Genomic DNA, 14,905 nt, shown 5'->3' on the forward strand with positions numbered 1-14,905 from the left:
ATAATCCATTTTTATGAAAAGTGGCCAGAAATATTGCGTGACTGATTTTCAAACATAATTTATTTTTTCTTGGTAAATTGAGTAGAACATAGAATTGAGTGAAATCACACAAACCCACCTGGCTTGCTGTTTTCTCATTTACTACTAAGTCGGTTTTCAATGCACTAGTTATTAATATTTGTAAATAGGAGCTCCAATTACATGGCATTTTAATATCCTGACCCATAGATAAGAATTTAACAGATCTCTTTGCTATGATGCTATCTCAGTGGGCCTGATCCTATGGTGAAGAAGCCCTACCCTGGGAATAAATTGTTCCCCATAAAAGTGGAATTAACGTTTCTAAGCACCATGGCTCCATTGTGTAAATTGTTTCTCCATGGTATTCCACTGGGCTGCCAAAGATCAGCGTATAGAATTGAAACACAATAGAAAGGATGACTGGATTTCAGGATAACTAGATCTGGAATGAAGATCCAGGACAACTAGATTCAGAAGCAAAAATTCCAAAGATGGCCTCAAGACCAAAAGGGAATTTAGGGCTACTATTTGTGTGGAATGTGCATACTTCATGTCTCCAGGGCCACAGTAGCTTATAGATTCATCATATACAGTACTTCTCTGGTATTTCCACCATATATGAAAACTCCAGCCCAAATTTCTGTCAAATTCACATGGGAGTCCCCAAAAGTCATCTCGTATGTATTCTGTGAACAAACCCGCAAGGTTACTACATGTTGTTCACCACTTTCCTCCTTTCCCACCCAGCTCAAGCTGGGTGTGTCTCTTGTTAGGCCAGCATTGCTCTCCAGAGCTCTACATCTGTGTTGAGGCCCTATCTTCAACCAGTGGCTGGATTGTCACCAAATATTTTTGCTGATGCCTTAGTGCTGTCTCAATGTCAGAGAGATTTCAGTGAAACTGCTGTCAGTTTAGGGATTTTTTAGCTTCTCATAAAATATATGATCCATTAAAAAGAGTAATAATACCTTTAATAAATAAAATAAACAACTTGTACCTACCATTCAGCTTAGAAAATAAATCATCACCATAGCTTTGTAGATTCCTCTACATCCCTGAACTCCTTCCTCTGTTCCCAGCGTTTATAACTAAACCTCATCTAGGACATACTATTTGAGGTTTTGTTGATTTTTGGAATTAAGCAAGATCTTTATTTTTTTTCCAAAAAAAGGTCATTTGGGGCAAAACTGGAGAGGAGTTTAGACTGGAGCAACAGGAAGGTGGGTGGGGCAGCTTTTCCCAAGCAGGGATCCCAATAGTGCCACTACAATTCCCAATAGCCTAGGGCCAGCGCACAGGCAGAGAAGCCAAGTCTGGTACTCTGGTGCTGAGCCTAAAACCTTAAAGTAGACATAAATGCTCCCAAGTCAGTGGTATCTCCTGGCTACTTATAAAAGCAGAGGCAGAAGTAGAAGCAAACCATCTCTGGAGAAAAGATATTTTAATTTAGGTACATGGAGATTATATGTATTAAAATCAGGCAGTAAATTCAGATGCAAAGAACAGCAAGTACAGTCAAAGAATACACAAGCAACCATGGGTGAACATCAACAAAAATGATAAATAATAGCTAGAGATAGTGCACCTTTGAAGGACTGTAGATACTGAAATTATTAGGTACAGGATATAAAACAGATATATATGAAATATTTGAAGAAATTAAGGACATAAAAAAAGTAATTAAGCACAGGGATTTTCAATTTTCTGAAAGAGCCTAAACCCGGAGTTTTTAATCCTTTTTTTGAGTGGGAATTTTTTAACTACTTTTTTAATTCCATTAATCCTTTAGAACACTCAATTTCTATATATTTATAGAATTATACATACATAGAAATAGAAATATATAAAAATATACATCTATATTAAAATATATCATATAAATACATGGAGACATATCATATATTGAATATATATTTATATTTTTATTAATATATAGAAATTGAATGTTCTAAAGGATTAATTAAATAATCCCTAAGATTACAGCTATAATAATTGTATTGCTCTCCAATATGCCTGTGTTATCTGTTTCCAAATGTGTTAACATAAAGTTGTTCATATTTTCATTAAATTTAACCTTGCAGCATTTTTAGTTACCTTTTTTTTTCAGTCATAACATTGTGGCTTTTTTCCTCCTTTTTTTTAACTCAAGCTTGTAAGAATTTTATTTTGTTTTCCCACTGAATTAAAATTTTGTTTTGTTGGTCCTCTCTATCAAATGTTTATGTCTTATTTTATTTCTGCCCTTCCCTTTGTTATTTTCATCCTATACTTGCTTTTGGCTAATTCTGTTGCCACCTTTGAAACTGTGCGATGAATGATTCACCCGGTATTAGGTTCCACATCTACTTTCCTAGCCTCTACTTTGTGATGATGGTTCTGAAGACAACATGTCTCCTTTGTCAGAAGGCTTACTATTAATTTCCATCAATAGGAAGAACTAGGGGAAGAGTAAATGGCAGGAGAAGGGGAGAAGGAACTTGTTCATTTCTGCTTGTTTATTTTTTCCCATCAGATCACCCCACTTTGGCCTTTTACCCTGGCAGCAGCTGTTAATTACAGCTTTCAGATCATCGGGCCATTCCCACTAACAGAGTCATTGTGCCCCTTCACGACCACCAGCTGCAGAGCCCACTCATTATGTGTCTGCATCTCAACATCACAGGACCTCTTCCCAACTTCTGAGGTACCAGCACTAGCTGGTAGCTCCTCACTTCAGAGGTTAGGCCCCCATTGTGTGAGACCCTCCCTCCAAGCTCCTGAGATTTCAGTAGCAGCCTCCTTGGAGGTAGGTAACACCCTCCTTGGAATTCTGAGTCCTAAATCTTTGGGCCCCTCTATGAACCTTGTAAGTTTTGATCAGCTTCCCAATGAGCTTCCTGATCTCAGCTTCCTTTCATTCCTCCAGCCTGAGGGGAGGTAGCAGCTTTTTGTAATGATCTCTTCTAATGTTCTCATTTTCCTTTTCAGTTCCCCATCATCTGATTAACAAATTCCCTATATGAAATTATCTCTGTTGAAATACCTCGTGGGGTTTGTTCCCCTGAATGGACCCCAAGTGATACAGGTTGAACATCTGTTATCCAAAATGCTTGGGATACTCAGCCTGTTTTACTGTTAGATTTTGGAAGTGCTTAGGATTTTGGATTTTTTGGGCGCAGGGAGGTTGGAATATTTGCATACATATATTGAGATATTATGGGGATAGGATCCAAGACTAAACCAAAAATCACTAATGTTTTATATATACCTTACATATTAATATATAGCCAAAGGTAATTTTATACAATATTTTAAATAATGTTGGGCATGAAGCAAAATTTTGATTGCATTTTGACCGTGACCTATCACATGAGGTCAGATGTGGAGCTTTCTACTTGTGGAGCCATTTTGACACTCAAAGCTTCAGAACTCAATCAGTTTTTTAGCAGTTTGGATTTTGGATTTTCAGATTAGGTCAGCTCAACCTGTGTAAATGCTAAAGTTTATTTCTTTCCATTCTTTTTTCTATTATAAACATCTAAGGATTATGTTAGAGTCTTTGTTCTTGCTCCTTTTTTGTCACACCTGTATAGCAGAGGAGAATCTGGGACTGTGTCTCTCAGAATAATCTTCGCCATATGTCCTATGTTTGGATTTGGATTAGAGCTTCTCTCTTTCTTTAAGAAGTAAGGCTATGACTAGAAGAGTGGACATGGGCCTGATAGAGAATTCACAGCTTCTTTTGGGAGAGCTCCTTTTATTCAGCACTTCAGGTAGCCAAATTATTCGATGGGAGCTTCCTGGATGTTTTTGAGATTTTTATAGACTCCTGTGAAAGCCCCTGAGAATAAACTAAAATTTCTTTTTATTTGGTTTTTTAAAATTGTCTTTTGGTACATTTGCTTAACTAATTCTTAAGCCACACTTAACCAGTTCTTTGGGGTCACCTCATGTTTCCCACTGAAGTTTAATTACAGTAAGATAAACTGATTGACATATGTTTTGCTTTTTCTTTGTTAGATGACTCAAAACTGAGGCTAATTATCAGAATAACCACAGGAGATTTTAAATACACAGATGTCTGAGCCTCATTCCTGAAGCTGGGTTCAGGTAAATACATATATTTAAAGTTCTTCAGATGAATTTGAATGATCAATCTTGTTTTGGAACCTCTGCTCTGGCTTCTACCCTTTAATCCATCTGTTATCTTGTGATCTTAAGATCCAGCCTATGTTTTTCTCCCTTACTTGTTTTTCTCCTTCTTGGGCCCCAGAATCAAAATACACTTCACAAAGTCATTTGTAAGCTAGTGCTTCAGAAAGCAGGATTTAAAAACTCCTCCTGCCAGACATCATTCCCGAAAACAAGGATCACTTATTTTGAATATGATGTCCCTAACCATGTTTATTTCAGAATGACTGATAATGGTAGGCTCTGTGAGAACATGATGGACTATGTATTTCGATTTTATAAATGCAGAGTAAGTCAAGAATGCCAAATGGCAATGCCATAATCCTTCTGTTCTCTGCCAACCTATTACCTTATGGACTCAAATATGTCGCTCTTGAAGCAGATGGCTCTCACCGCTCTCCAGGTTATTACATAAGGAGATGAGGTGCAGTGGACTGAGTTTGCCTGATTTCCAGGAAGACTAGCACAATGCATGTAATAAGCTCCTGGGTGTAGGAAGACAACTGAATTCAGAACCAGGCATGTCTGGATTTAAATCTTAGCTCTGCCTCTTTCTGATGATGAGAACTTCAGCAATATGTGATGTTCACTTCATATATGTGGAACAGTGCAATATTTGTCCTTTGGTATCTGGCTTCTTTCACTTAGCATAATGTCTTGAAGGTTTATATATATTAGCAAGTGTTAGCATTTTCTTTTTAATTGAATAATATTCCACTATATATATAAATCACATTCCGTCTTCACATTCATCTGGCAATGGACCTTTAGGTATTCATCACAACTCTTAACTTTATTTTACTGTACTTTTTTAGGTTATCTGTCTGTCAATTTACTCTCATATTTGCACATCAATATCACCTTCTTTAATCTTAAATATACATGAATATCTAACAACAGAAGCAATCATTTTTGGCCAACTATAGGGCCATACATCGAAAAAGAGATAATTTTTACTTCCTTTCCTTGTTTAAAATTTTGGAGACTCAAATTCAGGAATTTCTTGCATCCTGAAAGCTTTTGACACTGAGTATAGTATACTTAAAGCCAGTATTTCTCACATGTCTATGTCAGAAGCCCTTGGTCTCTCAGCATCCCATAGAAAGGCATATGTAGACAAAGTCTGGCTGTATGGACTGAGGGCTTTTCTTCAAGAGAAGAGCCTGTTCCTTTCCATTCTCTTTTCTTTCACACCTCCTATGAGAGGAGCCTTCCAAATGGGTTAGAAAGGATGTCATCTGAGCTTGGGCACCATCTTGATTCTTAACGTTAAATGAGTTGCTCAAGGAAACTCAATTTGGCCTTCATTCTCTTGTCTGTAAAAATAGAGATGATAATATCATGTTTGTATGTTTATTGTAAATTTGAGTATTATGTATATAAAGCAACTGGCAAAGAGAAGGTACACAGTGAGAGACTTACTTTTTTGAGATTTTTTATTTTAAAAAATTCCTCCTAAGTTTATTTCTGAATGTCATTTTCTCTGAATTAAGGAGGCCACCTGATATGATTTAATGTAAGCACAGGTTAGAAATCCTTTTTCAGGAACCCATAAAAGTGATTATTATAACACGAAGCATACACAGACTGAAATCCCAGTCTGTAAAGGGATAATGCTTATCTGATTTTGCTTTCTCAAGGCACTGGGATCTTGATTGGCAGCCCAGCTGAGTTCAACCCATTTAGGTATCTAAAAATATAAATATATGAATATGTGCATGTTGTGGAGTTGGAGCGAGCCATAGGACTTTAAAAGAAGGCAAAATAATTTGATAAAAATTACTGAACCCACTCACTGAAATGCGAACTATATGAGAATATTTAAACAACAATTTTAAGTATACTTACATAAAACAAATGACAAATAATAATAGGGAATTGAGAGTCATTTCCATTTTCACTCCTGAACAGGAATTAGTAAAATGACAACAATAGCCAAGGGAATAATTCAAGTACAATATGCCATCTTTTACATCCTGCTGAGTATTTTGTATGTCCCGCATCCCTGTCCCAGCCAGGCAGGTGGTGTTTTCTTGAATTAGAACCCTTACATTGTTTCAGTTTTTGAACTGTTCACGTTTGCCTAAGCAGTTTTCAGCAGATTGTTATCAAACACTTATTGAGTCATGCCTCAAGGCTTATACTCCCTCAATGGTAGCCACAAATCAACTTCAGGCTGCTAAAGCTTGTCAGCACCCTGTCCCCACTACACCCAGTTTGCTTACTTTCTGCATTCAGACTTCTCTGACATGGGATGCCTATGAAAACCTGATTGGTACCAATGCATGCATAAATCTGGAAGACTGCCATCCTGTGAGGCAACCCTTGGTCAATGCAGAGCTGGAGACAGTGGATAAATACCTTCTCTTCTTCCTTTCATACTGACAATTCAGAGGCACAGCCTATATGGCTCTTCCAAGAGTTACAGTGGGACCAAACCCCAGTTGCCCACAGCTATGACTGGATAGATAATGCATTCTTATTTTAGCAGCCCCTCCTCCCCAATTTCACCCTCCCTAGTCTCCAACTTGTGGCCCTGAGATCACATCCCCAAGCAAACTACCTGGATAAAAGATGTGTTTCAGACCCTGCTGTCTGCCAGTAAGCCAGGCTAAGATAGTATCAGTAAGGCCAACCAATCAGCTAAGCAAAACTGCTGAGTGCCTGAGCTCACCTACAAGGGTGACATGACTTTGCAACAGCTGTGTACTGTGTCTCTCTAAGCGTTCTGTGTTCCTCCCTGTACTTCTGTTTCTCTGCAATGGCAGAGAAACTGATATATCGCTTGGTCTGGTGGGCCAGGACTGATGTTCCACCTCTACTGGGGTCAGATCACAAAACAGATTCTCCTTGGGCCAAATCACGGAAGTCATGACCCTCCCTGTGAAATACTCTTAAACCTCCACCTCCACTCTAGAGTAATTAGCTGTGGAGACTTTCTGTTTAACCACTTACCCATTAAGTCATATTGCTTAAACAAGTTCCCCCAAAATTCAAGGTCCTCAAATCTGTTTCCTATAACACCCTTTTTCACCACCCCCGTAAAACAAGAATACATCCTCCTTTAAATGTTACTTAGTGTGGCTTTTATTTTAGCTGAACAATGTCACCGAAGATGTAGAAATAGAAAATTATGGTATCACGTGGCATATTCTTGGCAAAATTCTCCTTGACCTCTTTTCACTTTCCTACTAGAGGATTTTCCAAGACCTGGTCTCCCCACCATGTGCTCTGAGCCAGAGATTGTTGTCTTGGTGGTGTTCATATTTCCCTGTTACTATAGGTGCTGTGTTTTCCCCTTGTGTATCCATTTCGGGTGGGTGGGGAGCATCAATCTGCAAACAAGTAGAGCCATCCATATTCTGCATATTTCGATCTGGCCTTGAAGAGATGACTACAGATGGGGCTTCTTTCACTCTAACCTCTATTATAGCCCAAATGCCTTCTGTTCTCTAGTGAGGCCAGCTTTGCTTTCTCTTTTTAATCAGCCATGTGTTTTTGCTAGGTTTTGTTTTGTTTTCACCACAGGCAGTTTCCCCCATCCTTCCAAAAGCCTGAAGGATTTTTCCCCTGACAGTTTTGTTTATCTTACTTCATCTCCCAATACAATCTCCCTTGTTGAATTTCCCTTTTTTTTTTTTTTTTTTTTTTTTTTTAGCACACAGAAGCACAGAAACTTTGGAGTTAGACTGGCTTGGAGTCTAATCCAAGTTCTATCATCTACTATCTGTGCGACTTTGAGTAGCTATGTCTGCTTCTGATCCAAAAATCATGTATTTCACATAACCACAGAATTTTTGCAAACAATAAAGAATATACAAGACAAGCACTTGGCAAATGACTATTTCTTCATCTCTCTTTGCTAGTAGCTATAGTTTTACTGAACACATAGGTGTGTCTTACTCTGTTGTTCATTACAGGCATATGAAATTTTCCCAGCCAACACTGGTTCTTTTCTCCAAGGTTCCATGCTCACTCTGTTCAAGACTATTCCTTAGTCAGTTTTCAGTGAATGCCCTTGGCCTTTTAAAAAATGTCTTGCATGTTATTGCACGAGTTATCTATTGCTGAGTAACAACAAACATTTATTATCTCATACAATTTCTGGGAGCCAGGCAGGAAGGAGCATCTTAGCTCAGCTCAGGGTCTCTCACAAGGTTGCAGTCAAGCAGTTGGCTAGAGCTGCAGTCTTCTCAAGGCTCTATGGGGGCTGAAGAACACAAAACATAGGATCTGCCATAGACCCTATCTCAGCAATCAAGCAAACTGTCTGATTCCAGATTGTAGATCTCATGATGCTTATTGATTTATTTACTGGAGGCTTAGCCTGGCACTTTCCGCCTAGGCAAGATATCCCTAAGTTAGGATCAAAGCCATCTTCTAAATTGGGAACTTAACGGTTTGAAGGTCACAAAACACAATAGGATTTTTACCCTGTGAAAATTTGCCCTGTCTCCACATGGAAATGACCAGGCAAATGCAGTCAAGCCAGTATTTTTCTTATGGAGCCACTTTGTATGCATTCCAGGGGCTGAAATATGCCTAGTGGATCCAGAGTGCCGCACTATCTAATTGAGCAAAGATTGTCTGGGATTGCAACATTATTTTGAGTAGATTTTGACCGTTCCCATATCAACTATGGGCAAACGGCATTAACTATGATACTGGCTGCTTTCTGTTTGTTCCTCCAAACCCATGCTTCAGTGTTTGGCGCTCTAGAAAATGAGCTGCATGGAAGTAATCAGCAGGCTCCCTTTGTGTCCGGAATTGGTGGGTTCTTGGTCTCACTGACTTCAAGAATGAAGCCGCGGACCCTCGCGGTGAGTGTTACAGTTCTTAAAGGCGGCATGTCCGGAGTTTGTTCCTTCTGATGTTCCGATGTGTTCGGAGTCTCTTCCTTCTGGTGGGGTTCGTGGTCTCGCTGGCTCAGGAGTGAAGCCAGGGACCTTCGCGGTGAGTGTTACAGCTCTTAAGGCGGCGAGTCTGGAGTTGTTCCTCCCGATGTGTTTCGTGGTCTCTCTGGCTTCAGGAGTGAAGCTTCAGACCTTCGCGGTGAGTGTTACAGCTCATAAAGGTAGTGTGGACCCAAAGAGTGAGCAGTAGCAAGATTTATTGCAAAGAGCGAAAGAACAAAGCTTCTACAGTGTGGAAGGGGACCCGAGCAGGTTGCCACTGCGGGCTTGGGCAGCCTGCTTTTATTCTCTTATCTGGCCCTACCCACATCCTGCTGATTGATCCATTTTACAGAGAGCCCAGTGGTCTGTTTTGACAGGGTGCTGATTGGTGCATTTATAATCCCTGAGCTAGATACAAAGGTTCTCCACATCCCCACCAGATTAGTAGATATAGAGTGTGGACACAAAGGTTCTCCAAGTCCCCACCAGAGTAGCTACAGAGTGTCCATTGGTGCATTCACAAACCCTGAGCTAGACACAGGGTGCTGACTGGTGTGTATACAAACCTGGAGCTAGATACAGAGTGCCGATTGGAGTATCTACAATCCCTTAGCTAGACATAAAGGTTCTCCAAGTCCCCAACCAGACTCAGGAGCCCAGCTGGCTTCACCCAGTGGATCCCACACCGGGGTTGCAGGTGGAGCTGCCTGCCAGTCCTCTGCCCTGCTCCCGCACTCCTCAGCCCTTTGGTGGTCGACGGGACTGGGCGCCGTGGAGCAGGGGGCCGCACTCGTTGGGGAGGCTCGGGCCGCACAGGAGCCCACGGACGGTGGGGAGGCCCAGGCATGGATGGCTGCAGGTCCCGAGCCCTGCCCCGCAGGGAGGCAGCTAAGGCCTGGCGAGAAATCGAGCGCAGCGCCGGTGGGCCAGCACTGCTAGACGACCCAGTACACCCTCTGCAGCCGCTGGCCCCGGTGCTAAGCCCCTCATTGCCCCGGCCGCTCCGAGTGCGGGACCCGCCAAGCCCATGCCCACCTGGAACTCCAGCTGGCCCGCAAGCACCACCCGCAGCCCCGGTTCCCGCTCGCGCCTCTCCCTCCACACCTCCCTGCCAGCTAAGAGAGCCAGCTCTAGCCTCGGCCAGCCCAGGAAGGGGCTCCCACAGTGCAGCGGTGGGCTGAAGGGCTCCTCAAGCGCACCCAGAGTGGGCGCCAAGGCCGAGGAGGAGCCGAGAGCCAGCAAGGGCTGTGAGGGCTGCCAGCACACTGTCACCTCTCACCTTGACCTCATCTTCTATTAGGGTATAGCCAATTGGAAGCTCTAGAAGGGGATTTGAATAGCAGGAAGAGAGTAAGTTGGGGTAGTTGTCTCCTAGCCCCTTTATAGCCAGGTGGCAACATTAACTGTGTCTCTCTACTAAAAGTCACAGCCCCTGTTAAAAGGGCCTAATGGCCAGGCGCGATGGCTCATGCCTGTAATCCCAGCACTTTGGGAGGCCGAGGCGGGTGGATCATGAGGTCAGGAGATCAAGACCATCCTGGCCAACATGGTTAAACCCCGTCTCTACTAAAAACACAAAAATTAGCCTGTCATGGTGGTATGTGCCTATAATCCCAGCTACTCAGGAGGCTGAGCCAGGAGAATTGTTTGAACCCGAGAGGTGGAGGTTGCAGTGAGCCAAGATCATGCCATTGCACTCCAGCCTGGGTGACAGAGACTCTGTCTAAAAAAAAAAAAAAAAAGGACCTATCTTCCCAGCGATCCACTTCAGGGCCCTATAACAACACTCCCCTTGCCCTTTCAGACTTCGAAGTAGTAACTACTCCCCAACATTATCTAACTTCAGGGTGTTTCATCATCACTTTTTCTTCCTAAGCCCTGCCAACAACTTTGTAAATAGTTCTCTATTAAACTCTTCTCCATTACCTAGTTTGAATGTGTCACTGTTCCCTGCCAGGACCCTAACTGTAAAGTGGCTGGTTTTAAACATCATAGCCTCCCAGGATACCTACAGTTACACTCTGTGAGATAGAGTCACAAGTAATTAAAACAATTGGCTATTGAATTACTCAGTTGTGATTTGATTGAAGCTTAGTGACTGGCAGCAATTTTCATTTCTAGCAAGTCTGTATGAACAATCATTTATTGCCAAAAGTACAAGGGCTGAATATTAACTAATTGAGGATCATCAATACTAAACCTGGCAAAATACCTCATGATTTAAAATAACGGGTAACTTGTATTGAGTGTCGAGTGACAAGCGTTGTGTCAAATGATACACATTTTTAAGATTATTTTAATCATCACAATCATTCTGTGTGGTATAATAATTTTGCTATTCAATGGCGATCATTAAAAAGTCAGGAGACAAGTGCTAGAGAGGATGTGGAGAAATAGGAACACTTTTACACTGTTGGTGGGACTGTAAACTAGTTCAACCATTGTGGAAAGACAGTGCGGCAATTCCTCAAATATCTATAACTAGAAATACCATTTGACCCAGCCATCCCATTACTGGGTATACACCCAAAGGATTATAAATCATGCTGCCATAAAGACACATGCACACGTATGTTTATTGTGGCGCTATTCACAATAGCAAAGACTTGGAACCAACCCAAATGTCCATCAGTGATAGACTGGATTGAGAAAATGTGGCACATATACACCATGGAATACTTTGCAGCCATAAAGGATGAGTCTATGTCCTTTGTAGGGACATGGATGAAGCTGGAAACCATCATTCTGAGAAAACTATCACAAGGACAGAAAACCAAACACCGCATGTTCTCACTTATAGGTGGGAATTGAACAACCAGAACACTTGGACACAGGGTGGGGAACATCACACACTGGGGCCTGTCATGGGGTGGGGGGAGGGTGAGGGATAGCATTAGGAGTTATACCTAATGTAAATGACAAGTTAACGGGTGCAGCACACCAACATGGCACATGTATACATATGTAACAAGCCTGCATGTTGTGCACATGTACCCTAGAACTTAAAGTATAAATAATAATAATAATAATAATTTTGCCATTCAAAAGATGCGGAAACCTGCCAGGCATGGTGGCTTACCTCTGTAATCCAGCACTTTGGGAGGCCAAGGTGGGCGGATCACTTGAGGTCAGGAATTTGAGACCAGCTTGGCCAATATGGTGAAACTCTGTCTCTACTAAAAATACAAAAATTAGCTGAGAGTGGTAGCGGGTGCTTATAATCTCAGCTACTCGGGAGACTGAGGGAGAAGAATCCCTTGAACCCAGGAGGCAAAGGTTGCAGTAAGCCAAGGTCCCACCACTGCACTCCAGTCTGGGTGACAGAGTGAGACTCTGTCTCAAAAAGAAAAAAAAAAAAAAAAAGGATGTAGAAACCAAGGCTCACGGAGAAGAAGTGCCTTACTCAATGCCATATAATAAACCAGAGATGAAACTGGTATTCAATCCCAGGCAAAATTCAGAATCTGCATGTCACTCAATTTTCCTTGATGAGAAAATAATTATGAATAATTGACAATGGTATGGCTTTGTTTATGTAAAAATATTTGCTAATTTCTGTATGGTATAAGTAGGCTATTTAGAATTAGAAATTATGCTACCACTTGTAACACTTCTATTTATTCCGAGCTTGATAGTTGATTTTGCAAAATAAGGAGAACTGGGTTTTTAAGTGTGGCCCACAAATATAAACAATTCTGAATTCACCAAATACACATACACACACACAGACACACATGAGTCTAACTCTAGCACTTAGCAATTCCTCAACTGGGAAGTAGTTAATACCAGGCCTTCTTATAAATCTCTTTATAAATAATGGTTGTGTTTACACAACCTGGAAATACTGAATTTTTCCCTGAATGAGTCATTGTTTTAGAATAGTGTAAACAGAGCCTGTGTTAAGGAAGAGGATGTCTTTGTCTAGTGAAGCTCTGAGCATTTAAACAGCTGCTTCGTTTCCCTACATAGGTGTTTGCATTTCATTGATGGAGTAATTTCCAAATAGCTTTCAATCAATATATAGTAGACAAGTGGTTGAGAATGATCTCTTAAGGGGGAATAAAAAAACAGAAAAAATGCAATTCAACCATTGCATCTTATTTATTTAATTTTTAGCATCTGTTATTAAGTAATCACCACAAAAACCATAGCAGGAATGTGAAATTTTGTGTAATGGTCCATATTTACAGCTGTTCATTTTCATAGAATTGGTAGTATTTGTTTGTGTATTCTTGTTTATTTTCTGTTTCTTGGTTTTTGTGTTTTTCTTAGAGAAGGCACTGTATGTGTCTGCACCATGATTTATACCCAAATTTATACCCAAATTTATACCCATGTAACGCTGTACTCCAGCTTTTCTAGGAAGTATCAAATTTTAAGTATACAAAATATACTTAAATATACTATGTATAATTCAGATATTAGCAAAACGTTAGGAGATTTTAAAATAAAACCTACATGACATTATTATTTTATACAGTCAATATTCACTTAAATTTACACACATATTAACTATATTATTTGTTCTTCATTTTTTCTTGTACCCATTTCAGACCGTTTTCATTCTTCCTGAAATATGTCCTTTAAAATTAATTGCTTTAGTGAGGGGTTGCTGAGGGCAAATTCTCTTATCTTTTTTCCTTTGCTTCCTGAAAAATTTTTTATTTTACACTAACTCATGAAGGATACTGGATGAATACAGAATATTAGTTTGGCAGTTATTTTTTCAGCACATTTCTAATATTATTCCACTGTCTCTGGCATCCTTTGTTGCTACTGATAAGTTAGCTGTCAGTCTAACTGCCACTGATTTGAAGCTATAGTGGACTCTGTTATGTGCTGCTGTTATCCCTTTTAGGGACTGAAATTACCCTCAAATACTGAGAATGCTAGAAATTGGTCTTAATGGAAGAGAGCCACTTCAACCAAATTCATGTCCCATTCCTGGAGGCAGGAATCTGAATACTTTTCTGATTCATAAACCAGGTGATATGAAAGGCCGCCAGCTTTGAGTGGGAGCCAGGGCAAGAAATGACTCTCCCAGCAGCAAGTCTAGGCTGTGATGTAGATGGTTTTGCCATTTGGGCCACTTGACTCAGCAGAACCTAAATAGTTAGAAGTTCAAATCCCAGTAGGAGTATCTCCTTTAGAGTTCTGAAAAAAGGTCATGCCTTCTGTAGCAGAGAATTATACCCTTTTTCAAAAACTGCTTAAGTGTGATAATTGGTACTGGAAAGGCTAAGTGCCTGACCATGATGCACAAAGTGATCTCAAACCCAAAACTTCTCAATAGGAGCTGGGTTCTACCAGACACACCAAATTGGACAGTTCCAGAAGTTATCCAACATGTGCTGGAAGAGAAATATCTGGGATCAAAGCCAGGGCAGGGCCAGAGGTACAAATGTAAGGCACAAGAGGTGAACCCATGTCACTCATGGTGATTCCATTCATGATTCTTCCTACCCCAAGCTGATGAAGGGGGAGGAAAGTCAAGCTTGATTCATAGATGGGCTGTCTCATGACCATGAATGTGGGTCAGTATGTGGGTATAAGCCAAAAATGGACTTTGGCTACACTACATTCCCATTAAGCGATGGACCTTGAAGGTGAGGTCTGTGAGGTGAAATTATTCCAATGGGCAGATCTTCAGGCAATAATATACCTCGTTTTCTTTATGTGGAAAGAGAAGTATCCTGATATAAAATATACATAGGCTCAACCAGTAGCTTATCTGGTTAGTTGGAGACTTGGAAGAAGAAATATTAGAAGATCAGGTATCAGAAAATGTGGAATAGAAGCATGTGGATAGAACTTTGGGC

The 14,905-nt window shown here is 40.7% G+C and overlaps 1 long non-coding RNA gene across 1 annotated transcript in view, besides 1 other annotated feature; it reads right to left on the minus strand.

Annotated features, from left to right (window-relative positions):
• Positions 1-2,203: 2,203 nt before the first annotated feature.
• The window catches only part of LOC105369901 (uncharacterized), a 53,084-nt gene continuing 40,382 nt past the window's right edge, over positions 2,204-14,905 (minus strand). Inside the window, exon 6 of the long non-coding RNA XR_007063580.1 lies at positions 2,204-5,507. This is a non-coding gene — a long non-coding RNA (uncharacterized LOC105369901). The remainder of the gene's footprint in view (positions 5,508-14,905) is intronic.
• Positions 12,950-13,150: a silencer, noted in NCBI's record as "peak1883 fragment used in MPRA reporter construct". NCBI's record gives its function as "represses an SCP1 promoter by STARR-seq MPRAs in K562 erythroleukemia cells {active_cell/tissue: K562}" and the evidence as "EXISTENCE:reporter gene assay evidence [ECO:0000049][PMID:32103011]".

The sequence above is a fragment of the Homo sapiens genome, chromosome 12 (genome assembly GCF_000001405.40).
Source record: "Homo sapiens chromosome 12, GRCh38.p14 Primary Assembly".
Taxonomy (NCBI): Eukaryota; Metazoa; Chordata; class Mammalia; order Primates; family Hominidae; genus Homo; species Homo sapiens.